Source organism: Homo sapiens, chromosome 2 (assembly GCF_000001405.40).
Source record: "Homo sapiens chromosome 2, GRCh38.p14 Primary Assembly".
Classification (NCBI taxonomy): Eukaryota; Metazoa; Chordata; class Mammalia; order Primates; family Hominidae; genus Homo; species Homo sapiens.
Window position 1 is genome coordinate 29,373,302 of NC_000002.12, and position 12,098 is coordinate 29,385,399.

The 12,098-nt window shown below is 43.5% G+C and overlaps 1 protein-coding gene across 2 annotated transcripts in view, besides 1 other annotated feature; it reads right to left on the bottom strand.

Moving 5' to 3' along the window:
* The window catches only part of ALK (ALK receptor tyrosine kinase), a 728,813-nt gene that overhangs the window by 180,528 nt on the left and 536,187 nt on the right, over positions 1-12,098 (bottom strand). For both annotated transcript variants that reach the window (XR_001738688.3, NM_004304.5), the window contains exon 5: positions 10,431-10,558. Coding sequence is in view for 1 of the 2 variants with exons in the window: in NM_004304.5 (NP_004295.2) it covers positions 10,431-10,558 (128 nt within the window). In the remaining variant the exon portion in view is untranslated. The remainder of the gene's footprint in view (positions 1-10,430; positions 10,559-12,098) is intronic.
* Positions 1,522-1,816: a silencer, noted in NCBI's record as "tiled region #127; HepG2 Repressive non-DNase unmatched - State 22:ReprW". NCBI's record gives its function as "represses a minimal TATA promoter and a strong SV40 promoter by Sharpr-MPRA in HepG2 cells {active_cell/tissue: HepG2}" and the evidence as "EXISTENCE:reporter gene assay evidence [ECO:0000049][PMID:27701403]".

Consider the following 12,098-nt stretch of genomic DNA (forward strand, 5'->3'; position numbering starts at 1 on the left):
AATAAAATAAATACATTAGTTAGAGAATGAAATTCATTACTATTTTACTACCAGACATTGATGTCAATGACTGAGTATTGCTCCAAATTACTTGTAAAATAGACCAATTATTTTAGTGTGATTAATCTTTTCAATTATTTCCTTTATGTAGTTGTAATTTGAAAGTAATTTTCTTCTGGGAGTACAATGACCTCGGCACACTCATTCTTTATTTATTTATATTTAAAAACCTTTGTGTCTGCCCCCATTTCTGGGCAAGTTCCAATGATCGAATATTTAAAATAGTTGCCCAAGCAGGCATTGTTTCTAAGCACTTCATGGGGCATTTTAAAATTGGCTTTATTAATAATTATGGATAAGCCATTCCAAAGTAAGAACTTCTTTGCCAACAGTAGCTAGGCACTGGTAGAGAAAGGAAAGACCAGCGAATTTCCTTCCTGGTTCCACCTGCTTTGGCCTGACTGTTTTGGATTCCAGTCTTCCTCAAGGGAGGCAGTGTGACAGGCATTTGAAAAGACCTCTCTCCTGCCTCCAACTACCTCTACAGAATTAAGCAGGATTACTCCTTTGTGTGGCACAAAGGACTCTGTGCACCCAGTGACCAAGGTAAAAAAATGACTTTATCAGGCATAAGAGCATAGGTCTTAGGAGGCAAGAGAAGCAGCTGCCTTTGCAATCAGAAAGCAAGTCTGGGCTGTCAGAATCTCTGCTGGAAAAGAGGTAAATTTTCCCTTTGCATAATGGCTCAGGCAAGGCGCAGATGGAAAGGCAAAAGGCAGATGTGAACCTGTAAACATACCCCAGGATAGTTGTGCAGAATTATTCAGCTCTGGTTCCAGAATTAGGAGATTCAGCTTAGTCAAGGGATGCCAGAGAGAGGATGAGAATACGTATTGTGCCAAGCATTGTGCTAGGAGCTCTGCACGCAACATCTGTTTTAATTTCCCAAAAAACCTATAATTATGTATTTCCTGATGAGAAAATGAAAACTCATAGATTTAGGAAACTTTTCCAAGCTCAAAAAGGTGGTGAGCGATGGAGCTGGCATCCAAATACATTCAGTCTGATTCTAAAGCCTCTAATCTCTCTCCTACATTGGAATAAGCAAACCTTTATTGAGTGCTTGCCATGAAAAAAAAAAAAGCACTTCACTGCTAATTGAGATACAGAGATTTTAAAAAAAGACAGTCTTTGATTTTAGGAACTTAGCATCTATTGAGTGAGACACATAAATAACTGGAGAGAAGTAGACGGTTCTAAAATAGATATACATGGAAACAATTCTGAGTGGAGACTTAGAGAAAATACTATTTAAGCTGGGATTTGAAAGATGTGCAGGTCTTTGAAAGGTGGAGGGTGCGCTGCAGGGGGCGCAGATGGAACCAAAGCTTGAGCTGGGGAGGGACATTTGAGAAATGCAAGCAGATCTCAGTGGCTGATGAAATCATAATTTTCATGCTTATCTTTTAAATGGTTCAGTCCACGGTAAGTTAAGGGCAGGAGATTTTGGAAATAGGGAGTTTAGAAGGAGAGCGTTTTTAAAATGGAGTTGAACATCCACCTGGAGATAGGCACTAGAACTAAGTGAGGATACTAAGGTCGTGACTGCGATTTCTCCTTGGTGATCACTTCCAAGCAATAGAGCTCACCATTGCACGGCTGATTGAGTGCCCTGAAGTGACTGCTCCAGGTGGTGGCACCTCCCCAGGTTGGCAGTGTGTGGCTCTCATCACCCTCTTGGCATTAGGTCAATAATTAACATCACAAAGCTCTGCAGGAGGCCTCAGAGGAGCCAGTTTGTTTCTGTGAATGGTAATTTCTTCATGAGAAACAGCAGCAGCAAGGAAGCAGGTTAGTTCTCAAAAGCTTCAGGCGAGGTGAGGCCCAGAGAGGTTAAGTAGCTCATGGCATCATTTACAAGGCACCTCCACAGCCACCTTCTCACTGACCCTCAGCATGAGGTCAATTTTGAGACAACTACTGACATGTTGTTATCCCTATTTTATTTTATTTTTATTTTTATTTATTTATTTTTTTGAGACGGAGTCTCGCTGTCTCCCAGGCTGGAGTGCAGTGGCACCACCTCGGCTCACTGCAAGCTCTGCCTCCCAGGTTCATGCCATTCTCCTGCCTCAGCCCCCCAAGTAGCTGGGACTACAGGCGCCCACCACCATGCTTAGCTAATTCTTTGTATTTCAGTAGAGACAGGGTTTCACCATGTTGGCCAGGATGGTCTTGATCTCCTGACCTCGTGATCTGCCCGCCTCGGCCTCCCAAAGTGCTGGGATTACAGGTGTGAGCCACTGCGCCTGGCCTATCTCTATTTTAAATGACAAAAAAACCCCACAAAAACCCAATCTATGTTCCAGTTATGAGGGAAATCTTTAATGATTTGAAGTGTGATGGCTAGTCTATGGCAAGTAAGAGGTAGGAAGGAGACTTAAATCCAGGTTTTCTGATTCTGGTTCAGTGCTCATTCTGTGGTCTTTCTGAGAAAGGAATGTTGGAACTGCTTTGGAGGAAGACATTTCCAGGAATGGAACACCTATTCAGTACTGACAGAGGAGGAGCACTGCCATCTTGGACAAGCACCTCATCCTAAAGTTCATCTTAATCAAAAACCACCTAAATCCAAAGGACATCAGCCTAATGGCCAAGGTCAGCATGACCATAAACCACAAATAACATCTCTGACCAGAAACATTCCAAACTCCTCCCCAACCAGAGACATGCTAGCCCCGAGATAGTCTCCCTCTGGCCGGAAAGATGTCAGCCCCAAGATAACCTCTCCTCCGTCCAGAGAAATTCCAACCCCCCATAAACTTCTCCCCCACACAGAAACATTCCAAGCTTGTGATAAGCCTGCTCACTGTAAAACCAATATATACTCTTAGTCTGTAAGAGAAAGCTCTCCTGACCAAAATTGGCCAGAAGCCCCTCTCAGGTTTATTTTCTCTAAAATAAATCTGTTTTTAACCATTGAGCCGCATTTTGTGTTTCTTTCCTCTTTCTTTAACTCTTACAAACTCTTCGTAAGATTTGCACTTACTTTGCACAAACCCTTACAACCCTTAGGGTTAGGGTTAGGGTGCAAATTAAATATAACTCAAAGATGCCCTTTAAGAAAGAGTTCTATGTGAAGTAGAATGGAAATGTTAAAGGAACCACACCAAAATTCAGTCCTAAGACAGAAACAACTATTTTATATTAATGTTAGCATGTACCCAGTTTAGTACTTGCTCAGAAACTGTCTGTGGCATAGATGAGTGGATGCATGGATGGATGGATAGCTGAGCCTGCTACATACAGAGTTTGCTGCTGGCAGCCCCAAGACAGAGTGCCACTGTGATCTACATTTTACAAGCACAGACTGAGGATCCTGCTGAGGCGTTGCTTGCTGTTGGAAGAGAAAATGCCCAGTTTGGGCCAGGCTGCTAGGAGCCCATGAAGTAATCCCTCATTTACCCAGCTGGATTTTGGAGCCTACTCTAGATGTTGATTGGTTCCACATGGCTGGCCAAAGATTTGAATCTATTTGTTCAGCTTCTTTCGTTTCCTCTTGTCCCCTTTCAGGCTAAGAAAGACATCTTCCATTGCCCAACATTGTCTTTGGTGGAGAAGAAGGAGAGAGAGGGGGACAAGGTTACAGGATGCTACCCATTTTTTCCTGGAAATATTTATACTAGCTACATATCCAGCACCTCAAAGCCAGAACCCACCTGGACAAGAACTTGCCTTGTGAAAATGGCCCATATTCAAAGTCTAATAGCCTTGTGCTAAGCCCTAATTTTTTAAATAAGATACAGTTAATATACCTATTTTTGGTTTTCATATTTTAAATAAGTGTAACATCTAGGACCAGACCATAAAAACTGGAGTTAATAGGAGAGCTGAGGCCGGGCGTGGTGGCTCACACCTGTAATCCCAGCACTTGGGAAGCCAGGGTGGGCGGATCACGAGGTCAGGAGTTCGAGACCAGCCTGACCAACATGGTGAAACCCCGTCTCTACTGAAAATACAAAAATTAGCCAGGCGTGGTGGCTTGCGCCTGTAATCCCAGCTACTCAGGAGCCTGAGGCAGGAGAATTCCTTGAACCCAGGAGGTGGAGGTTGCAGTGAGCTGAGATGGCGCCACTGTACTCCAGCCTGGGCAACAGAGTGAGACTACATCTCAAAAAAAAAAAAAAAAAAGAGAGAGCTTAGAATCAGACTGTCCAATGGTTCTTAAAATGTATTTCATGAAGCCCCATTGAGGGGGAATGTCAAGGGCTCTGGAACAGGTGGGTTCTAGGCGCCCCCAAAGACAGCTGTACTTGTATCATTTTATATACTGGGCTTCCATATAAGACTTTGTTTTAATTAAGGCTTCAGGCTCTAGAAAAGGTTTGAAGAGAGTTCAAACACCCTCATTTTAGCCCCGGAGAAGTTAAAAAATGGTATTTGTGCATCTCAGACTCTTTGGGGACATGTGTTTCAAGGTATCCATAATAATGGGACTGCATTTGACTTTGGATACCTTCACCTTCCTGAGCCAGAGAAGTTAGAGAAATAACTTCTCACGGGTAAGGTGAAGGTTATGACATCCTCTCTAATGAATGAATCAGAAGCAATGTGTATGAAATTATCTCAGTAGAGTAAGGAACCAAGAAGATTACTTCTTTTGAGAAATCTGTTAGTGAGCTGAATGTGGCTGTGGCCTGGGAAACCTCAGATGTGTTTTTGTAGGTTCCTGAAAGAGAAGAGGAGATATAGTGGCCTGCTATAAAATGTATGTAGGCTCACACAGGAGCTATCTACATTTCCTTGTTTTTCATGGGGGAGCTCCTTTGCAGCTCTTTGTCTTCATATTGACTAGTGGCAGTGGTCCATTTCAACTGCCTCTGAACAATCTGAGCTGGGAAAGGGAAATACTGAATTGATTTCTTAGAAAAATTGAGAACTTGACAACCATAAGGTGGAGGCAGAAAGCACCTTGGGCTGGTCAGTAATTTAGTGTATCACATTTCAAGGAAAATCATTGGGTCTTTGTTCATTCAATTTCTACATGGCAAGGGAGACAGATTAGATATTTCTGGTGTCCCTTCCAGCAGAGATCTTCTGTGCAAACTGCAAGGTGTGGTAGCTAAGAACATGGATTTTGGAGCCAGATGGCCTCCATTTCAATACCAGCTGTGTGACTTTGAGGAAATTACTTAGGTCTCCGTGCCTTGATTTCTCTATCCATAATAATGGGAATAATAATGATAAGAATAATATTACATACTTCATAGCATTGTTGTAAGGATTGAATGAGTTAATATATGTACCATGCTTAGAACAGGGCCTAGTGCATGGAAGAGCTAGATGAGGGTTTGCAATGCTGTGCATTTTTAGGAGCTGTTCAGGGCCATGCTGATCCTCCCCTCCCCTCCCCTCCCTCCCTCTCTTTCTTTTTGACAGAGTCTTGCTCTGTCACCCAGGCTGGAGTGCAGTGGTGCCATCTCAGCTCACTGCAACCTCTGCCTCCCGGGTTCAAGCTTCTGCCTCAGCCTCCCGAGTAGCTGAGACCACAGGTGCATGCCACCATGCCTGGCTACTTTTTTTGTATTTTCAGTAAAGATGGGGTTTCGCGACGTTGGCCAGGCTGGTCTCGAACTCCTGACCTCAGGTGATCCACCCACCTTGGCCTCCCAAAGTGCTGGAATTACAGGCATGAGCCACCACGCCTGGCACACTGGTCCTTTTCAAATCCCTTTCAAGAAGCTAGTCTTTCCCATTCTGACGTATGTGTTGCTGTAGGCACCTCTGAACCTGAGGGGTCCCGGTGAGTGTCCTGCGTGATCCTATTGCTCTGGGTTGTCTGCTCAAGAAAGGTTTTTGTGAATGGGCTAAGGGTTCCCTGGGAGCCCAGGCATGGGTGTCTCTGGGGGCTGATGTCTCTCTTGCCTGTGCTGATTGTGTAAGCTGCTCTTTCACTGGCCTTTCAGTGAAAAATCTCTTCCAAGCCATTTCTACTTACAGCTACTTTCTTTTGGAAGTAGTAGGGTAATAGCCCAAAGCTATAAAAGAAGGTGCAGCATTTATCAATTGATTGATTAACCAATCAGTCAACATGTATTCGTGTGGTGTTTTCTGTGTGTTTAGCACCATGCTAGCTGCTCCCTGGAGAAATAAAAGAAATGTAAGACAAGGTCTTGAACTTCAAGTTAGGATCCCAAAATGATTAAATTGGAAACAATTATAAAACACCTACTAAATTTAGATGTAGAGTATAAAGTCTTCCAAGGAGAATTTCTGTGGCTGCAAATGACATTTCCTGGCCCCAGGAAATGAGTAAGGTGGTCCAGTATAGGCCCCTTTTTCTATTATTTTCTGATGTGGGAGGCAATAAGAAATGACCTATGTCACATGAAAGCGCCACAAAAGAAGGAGTAATATTGAGGAGATTTATCTGGCAACGTGTGGAAGATGGAATGGTATCAGGGAGACCAGTTGGCTGCTGCCAAAATTCAAGTCTGCGTATATGAAGAATATAGAAAGAATAAGACACACAGCTGGGAATATGAAGTCAGAAGGGTATATCCAAGAGACAGCAACAGTAGTATTGTGTTAGTCCATTCTCACACTGCTGTAAAGAAATACCTGAGACTGGGTAATTTATAAAGAAAAGAGGATTAATTGGCTCATGGTTCCACAGGCTGTACAGGAAGCATGGCTGGGGAGGCCTTAGGAAACTTGCAATCATGGTAGAAGGCAAAAGGGAAGCAGGCACATCCTACACGGCTAAAGCAGGAGGAAAAGAGCAATGAGGAAGGTGCTGCACACTTTTTTTTTTTTTTTTTTTAAGACAGAGTCTCACTCTGTCACCAGGCTGGAGTGCACTGGCACGATCTCAGCTTACTGTAACCTCTGCCTCCTGGGTTCAAGTGATTCTCCTGCCTCAGCCTCCCGGGGAGCTGGGACTACAGCCGCCCACAACCATGCCCAGCTAATTTTTGTATTTTTAGTAGAGACGGGGTTTCACCATGTTGGCCAGGATGGTCTTGATCTCTTGACCTCGTGATCCACCTGCCTCAGCCTCCCAAAGTGCTGGGATTACAGGCATGAGCCACCTTGCCTGGCTGCTGCACACTTTTGTTTTTGTTTTTGTCTTTTGAGACGGAGTTTCACTCTTGTTGCCCAGGCTGGAGTGCAATGGTGCCATCTTGGCTCACCGCAACCTCCGCCTCCCAGGTTCAAGCGATTCTCCTGCCTCAGCCTCCTGAGTAGTTGGGATTACAGGCATGTGCCACCACGCCTGGCTAATTTTTGTTTGTTTGTTTTTTGTTTTTTTAGTAGAGACGGGGTTTCTCCATGTTGGTCAGGCTGGTCTCGAACTCCCGACCTCAGGTAATCCGCCCACCTCAGCCTCACAAAGTGTTGGGATTATAGGCATTAGCCACCGTGCCTGGCCCACTGCACACTTTTAAACATCCAGATCTTATGAGAACTCACTCACTATCACGAGAATAGCAAGAGGGAGATCCTCCTCCATGATCCAATTACCCACCAGCCCCCTCCTCCAACACTGAGGATTATAATTCAACATGAAATTTGGTGGGAAGGGGAAGACACAAATCCAAACCATATCAAGTATCTAGACAGAGACAGATAGAATACAGGCAAAAGCAAGTCTAGAGGTAAAGGTTCTGGCAATTTGGGTGTAGTGGTAAAAGGAACAGGAAGAGTCAAAGATGATGCTAAGGTTTTCAGGAAATAAATGAAACCTCAGCCTCTTCCACAAAGGCAGCAGAGGCTAGTGGACAGAAACACTGGCTTTGTCATCAGATCAACTTGGGATCGAGTTTGACTCTACTTTTCACTAACTGAATGACCCTGGCAAGTTTTGAAACTTCTGTGAGCTTCAGTTTCCCCATCTGTAAAATGAGGATATTAGTCCCTGCTTTACAGCATTATCGTAAAGCTTGCATGATGTAACACATAAAGGCATTGACACTTGGCTTTGCGCATGGCGAGTGCTCTGTCAATGTTAGCTTTTTGCTATTAGTCCATATCAACTGAGATGAACTGAGCACCTACCTAGTGTCACACACTGTGATAAGTGTAAGGATGTAGAGAGGATACAGGCATGGCCTCTGTCTTGATGACACCCACAGATAGATATTGTCTCCAATGCGGGGAGAATTGTCCCATGTCTCCTTGAGCCTTCTCCAGATGAACTAAAATGGCACGTCTCTGCTGTGGGCCAAGGAAGAGCTGTGGAGTTCTACAGTTGTGTTTCCCCTTGTGCTCCATCTGTGCCTCATCATGAAGGGACCAAGTTCTTATCAGAAATATAGACCAGGCATCCTGCAGACCTTCCTACAGTCCTGGCCAGTAATGTTGCCAGCCCTATTCACCTCCTTCAAAGACACCATTTTTCTCCTTTTATCCCCTCTTCTTCTGGCTTAACCAAAGCAATGACCCCAGAAAACATAGACATTTGCCTACATCGAATAGACATTGAGTATGCCTTTAAAGTAACCCCTTCCCTTTAAATATGAGTGTAATTTTAGGATGATTCTTATGTCTGCAATTTGTCTATGCCTACTGATGCGCACCTGAATTTGTCTTCTATGGGAAGGAAATTTAGAAGTTCTAAGCAAACACTGAGATCACCTTGTTCTTCACTATTCTCTGCCTTACACATCCGTATCAATCAATCCCTCCCCATCCCTTGTTGACCACAGGCGGTCTGACCCAGAGAAGAATCACAGAGAACATTTGCCTCCTCATGGAGACCATCTGTTCTTGGAGCTAGAGCCACTGAAAGAAGGAAGCTGGACCATGAGAACTTCCCCAGGTATCTGGGCCAAGCCACTTTCTCTAGGGAATCAGAGGAAGACTCATCTTCTCCCTCCTCTAAGAGGGTGCCCTGCCAGCGGAGACTTTCTGAGATTAGAAAGATTAGAAAAAATTAGAGAGATTTTAGGGAGGTCAACTCTATTGGTTTTGTAAAGATAGAAAAGCAGACAGGAACGGGTCTCTGGAACAGACTCACTGCGAATGCAACACAGGCTATGGGGGATGAATGTTTTTAGGTGAGAGGGAGTTGCAGGGCAAGGGAGAAAACATCTATAGCTTGAGATCCTTGATTTTAACATGCAAAGAATTTTTTTCAGGTCAAGAAATTTTTGCAGGAGTATTTGTTGTGGGCCTGATATCTGGACTTTTGCAGTTTCTTATTCCTTTTTCCTAATGATGATCAAATGAGAACATTCTGGGAATTGATACTTTCTCCCTGCCACATTCTTGTTAACTGGTTCCATTTCAACAGATGGCCTCTTTTGTATGGTACATAGATCCTTGACATCTGTGAGGACTGATGATGTCCAGAGACATTCACAAATCTTCAAGTTCATGAGTGCGGAAACATTTGTACAAGCTCCTGGCTTGCTCCCAAGCCACATGTTTCTTATACATTGCCTCATATCATAGGTTAACCACCTTTTCAACTTGAACTGTGGTTCAATCTATCACATTATGGTGATTTTTCTTTTCCCCACACATAAACCAGTTTTGATTAAACAACGAAAACAAAATACACTATAAAATTTCCTGCAAAGCCAGCAATAAATGAAGAGCCACAGGGGCAAAAGAAGCTGGGTTGGTGAGGGGTCAGTAGGGCTTCCTCCCTAAGAGAATCCCTTTCACACACCACTTCCCAGAGGCACAAAGTTCAAATCCAGGCCTGTACATGGAACAGATGACTGTGGGACATGGGCCTTCAAAGTTATTCAGGAATAGCCTAAATTGAGAATTTAGGTCTGGGAGTGCCTCAGGCTTCCTCTGGGTCCACGCTTCATTCTTGGGCCCCTGATCCTCTCCCTCCTCCCACCCTTCCCTCTCCACCCTCCGTTAGGCCCCAATGTCTGCTGTTCCCTTCTATGTGCCTATGTGTTCTCAAGGTAGATATCATTTTATACCAGCTCTTTGAAATTGATTATCTGGGATATGGATCACCTGGTATCATTCAGAACTAGCCCCTAAAACACTCTAGACTTTTTTTTTTTTTGAGACTGGGTTTCGCTCTGTTGCCCAGGCTGGAGTGCAACGGCACAATCTTGGCTCGCTGTGACCTCTGTCTCCCAGGTTCAAGCAATTCTCCTGCCTCAGACTCCCAAGTAGTTGGGATTACAGACGCACATCACCACACCAGGCTAATTTTTGTAATTTTAGTAGAGACAGGGTTTTGCCATGTTGGCCAGGCTGGTCTTGAACTCTTGACCTCAAGTGATCCACCCGTCTCGGCCTCCCAAAGTGCTGGGATTACAGGTGTGAGCCACAGCACCCAGCCCACTCTAGACTTTTCTTCATAAGTGTGCACATTCCCAGCCAAACATGGTTGCAGGTTATTGACACATCTAACACAATAGGCTACCAAGGAGCGTGGGAAAGCCAGATTCAGATACCTTCACTGCAGTTCTTCAGGGCAAAGAAGTCCACTGCAGACAAGCTGCGGTTTCCACTGGAGATGTATTCCAGGGCCACTCGAAATGGGTTGTCTGGACGCCCGATTCTTCCCTGGAGCACTGTCCAACTGGTTGCATTGGAAAACAGAGGAGAAAAGCATAGAGAAACAGATATGAGAATTAGGCCTAACATGTGGACAGGGTCATGTCCTTGCAGGGACTTCAGGACTCACATTCTTCATGGGCACCAAGAGATGGGACTCGAAGTGGCACTGAGGACAGTGATTCTGACAGCAACATGCAAATACTTATTTCCTTTTAGTCCAACAAACTTAGAGATCCAATTCACGAACCCAGTCTCACCACTGGCATTCCTTTTGTCATATTCTGTTTAAGGCAAATGCAGCTCTTTGGACTATTTGAGTAGCTAGTATCACAAGAAAGAATATATATAGTTGAGAAAACCTGCCAGTAAGTAGACTCAAGGAAATGTCTTCAAAACATGTATCACTCTATTCAAAATTATCTCTAGAAAGAATGATTGGTTTTCAGAATTTTATCTGATAGAAAGTCTCGGAACCCTCAGGTTTGCTCTACAGTTACTTAAGACGGAAGCTAGTAAGAACTATTTATTTACTGCAGGAAAATTAAAGTGCACCGAAGCATGTATTTTGGGGTAAAAGGTACCTAAGACTGACGTGGACTTTGCAAAAAGTGCCAACAGAAAAAGATGGAAGCAGGTGAAATGGCGAGCTCGGCACCCACCTATAATCAAGGATACTGACACTGTCAGAGAATAGAGAATAAATTAAATGAACACTTTTACACCTTGCTCATGCTATTAACCTCTTGAAATAGCCTCCTGTCACTGATTGGACCATCGAATTTACTTTCCAGCATTGATTCATAAATGTCTGCGAGTGTGTGTGTGTGTGTGGATTTATTTACTTACTTATTTTGAGTGGTTTGTGTGTAAAATAAAAATTACCTAGATTATTTGATATTTTCTTTCCTTAAAAACAATTTTATTGAGGTATAATTGATGTATAATAAATTACATGTACAAAAAGTGTCACTTTGGGAGGCCAAGGTGGGCGGATCATGAGGTCAAGAGATTGAAACCATCCTGCCCAACATGGTGAAACCCTGTCTCTACTAAAAATACAAAAAATAGCTGGGTATGGTGGTGCACACCTGAGGTCCCAGCTACTAGGGAGGCTGAGGCAGGAGAATCACTTGAACCAGGGAGGTGGAGGTTGCAGTGAGCAGAGATCGCCACTGCATTCCAGCCTGGCGATACAGACTCTTGTCTCAAAAAAAAAAGTGTATGATTTGATGGTGGGTTTTGGCTTATTTATACATCTATGAAATCATCACAATATTTCACATTTTTTTTTTTTTTACCAGTAGGTTGGGCTTTGGTATGGCAGTACAAGTGGTAAAGGATTAAGGGAAAAACTAGCTTTCCATTAAATAAATTTTTTTAAATATTTCCACCCCCTAAATATAAAGTGATGCTCACTGTAAAAAATAAAAAGCATTGAAAATCCAACTATTCAGAAAGGCTGATAATGGAAAGTAAAAGTCACCTAGAATACCATTGTCCAGCAATAACCATAGTCACCACCTAAGGAAACAACCTGTCAGGTTGTTTTTTTTTTTTTTTTT